Raw genomic sequence first — 2,497 nt, 5'->3', positions numbered from 1 at the left:
TAACTCTCTCCTTGTTAGAAATTCTCATTCCAAAGAAAATAACATTTATTTCATAATATGTTTATATAGCTAGGTATTATCAAACTAGTACCTATTATAAACTCAGCCTTGCTTAGGTATCATATCCTATCATCAAAAAAGTTACAATCTAAAATGAAATGTGGGTAACAAATAAGGGGGCAATTATAAAACAATAAAAGATAGTTTACAGATGATTTTTTTTTCTTCCAAGAAAAAGAAATATCTTGGATACTGTCTAAGTGCTTGGATGTTTATACAAATTATTTGAACCTTATGCGTCAACAAATCCTGACTCAAATTTTGGCAAGTAATGGTCATCTGTGGTTTCGAGTACTTTCTAAAGCAAATCATGACAGAAATCCCACTGGGGCAGCTTTTCTTGTTCCAGTGATTGCAGAATTTGGAATTGAGAAGATATAAGAAAAAGAAACAGAGAAGATCGTGCATGTTTGCATGTACGAGCAACCACACACCATGTTTACTCTTTCAGAAGAATCTATTGAGGTTTCCAGGATGGAATGTAGAGAGATTCAGGAGGCTCTTTCTTCTCTTTGTTCATTTCAAGAGACTGAAGTGTGTGCTAATTTGTTACTTGGTCTCATAGATTCTTTGCTCAGTGTTTACAGCTTCAGTTGTTGGAGAGTTCTGTTACCCAAACTATTGCCTTCTCTGTGCATAATTTTGTTTTTGAAAATAACTGTAAAGTCTTAAACGCATTCCAAATAGGATTTTGTTTTCTGGCATCAATAACACTAAAATTTTGTAGTATACGTATATACACTGGGTGTTAATTTATGTGTGTTGTGCATGTATATGTATATACATGTATGTGTATGTGCCTGTATATGTGTATGAAGAACCAAACACTAGCTTTCACAGGAGACGAATGTTGCCAAATAAGTATGCATATAAATTTCTATTTATTGGAAATGTACCTATTATAGCAACATAAAAAATCAATGTTTGTCCAATTATTTTCCACAGGCAATATCAGGCATTGCAGCATAGTTTCTCATTAGATTAAATCAAACTGTTCTTAAATACCATTTTACCAGCTGTTACTGGATAAAGGGTGAACAGAACAGTTTGTAGAAGCAAGTACGTAGCTCTCTGGCATGTGTTCCTGCCAACATCGCTACAGCTGTGTATATTGTTTATAAAAAAACGAAATGCCCTTAGTGGTTTTCCTTAAATTTTATTGAAGTGGGTTTTTTTTTTCCAGAATAATTTCTTATGTTTCTTAGGAAGATAAAACATTGCTGAAGCCTATAAAATAAGTCAAATTCAATATATAACTGAAAATATTTTAGACTTTAAATTAGAATAAAATGTGAGAATGAGAACAGTAAGAGGTAGATGCATCAAAATAGTCAAATAAATACCCCAATTTCCCTAAATAGGCTTTTATGTATTTGCTTTTTTAAAAAATTTACATTTCCAGTTGTTTAAATTGGGGTTTAATCAAATAATAAATAGTCAAAGGTTCTTAAACATTGACCCAATATAACATTAAAGGGCATACAGCTCAACTTTTTGCCTTATTTCCAAGTGTTAAATGTATATTTTATAACCTCAGCTAAGACGTTTTTTCCTACAGGTAAGAAACTGAGAAACACAGATGCTTAAGAGTCTTGATGGAGATTATATAATTTTTTAGTAGACAGGACTTCCAGGTCTCATAAATTCCAAGAGTACCATGTATAATAAGCAAATGAAGTTTTGTTACTGGAAATATAGACAGAAACATCTTCCTTAAATTCCATTCACTTTCACTATATCCTACTGAACAACAAAGTTTTTACGAATCACAAAGCACAAGAGAAATACAAAGTGTTAATATTTTAAATTATAACAAAATGAAACTTCAATATTGACTTTTATGAATGCATTACTAACAGCATTTAGATTTCAAGCAACTGATTAGTCATCTTAAGTATATAATAATATATATCAGATGGTGGAAATGAGTAATTATTTTCTCATTTTACCCTCAGCCTCTTCTTCTCTTATTTTTCTTATTCTTCTTCTCTAACATTTTAGTTTCTCCATGAACAAGCATATTCATTATTATTATTATCATTATTATTATATTGAAATGTACAAAGTGTTTGCCTAGCCCAATAGAAAGTTTGTTTATCGGCAGGGTGCGGTGGCTCAAGCCTGTAATCCCAGCACTTTGGGAGGCCAAGGCAGACGGATCACCTGAGGTCAGGAGTTCAAGACCAGCCTGATCAACATGGAGAAACTCCTTCTCTACTAAAAATACAAAATTAGCCAGGCATGGTGGCACATGCCTGTAATGCCAGCTACTCAGGAGGCTGAGGCAGGAGAATCACTTGAACCTGGGAGGTGGAATTTGTGGTGAGCTGAGATCGCGCCATTGCATGCCAGCCTGGGCAACAAGAGTGAAACTCTGTCTCAGAAAGAAAGAAAGAAAGAAAGAGAGAGAGAGAGAGAGAGGAAGGGAGGAAGGGAG

The 2,497-nt window shown here is 33.8% G+C and overlaps 1 annotated feature.

Annotated features, from left to right (window-relative positions):
• Positions 300-824: an enhancer, noted in NCBI's record as "NANOG hESC enhancer chr13:72578868-72579392 (GRCh37/hg19 assembly coordinates)". NCBI's record gives its function as "activates a minimal SCP1, AML or CMV promoter by ChIP-STARR-seq in primed H9 embryonic stem cells {active_cell/tissue: H9 hESC(primed)}" and the evidence as "EXISTENCE:reporter gene assay evidence [ECO:0000049][PMID:30033119]".

The sequence above is a fragment of the Homo sapiens genome, chromosome 13, assembly GCF_000001405.40.
Source record: "Homo sapiens chromosome 13, GRCh38.p14 Primary Assembly".
In the NCBI taxonomy this organism is placed as follows: domain Eukaryota; kingdom Metazoa; phylum Chordata; class Mammalia; order Primates; family Hominidae; genus Homo; species Homo sapiens.
The sequence above is the reverse complement of the archived record's forward strand: the minus strand, read 5'-3'. Positions and strand labels throughout refer to the sequence as shown.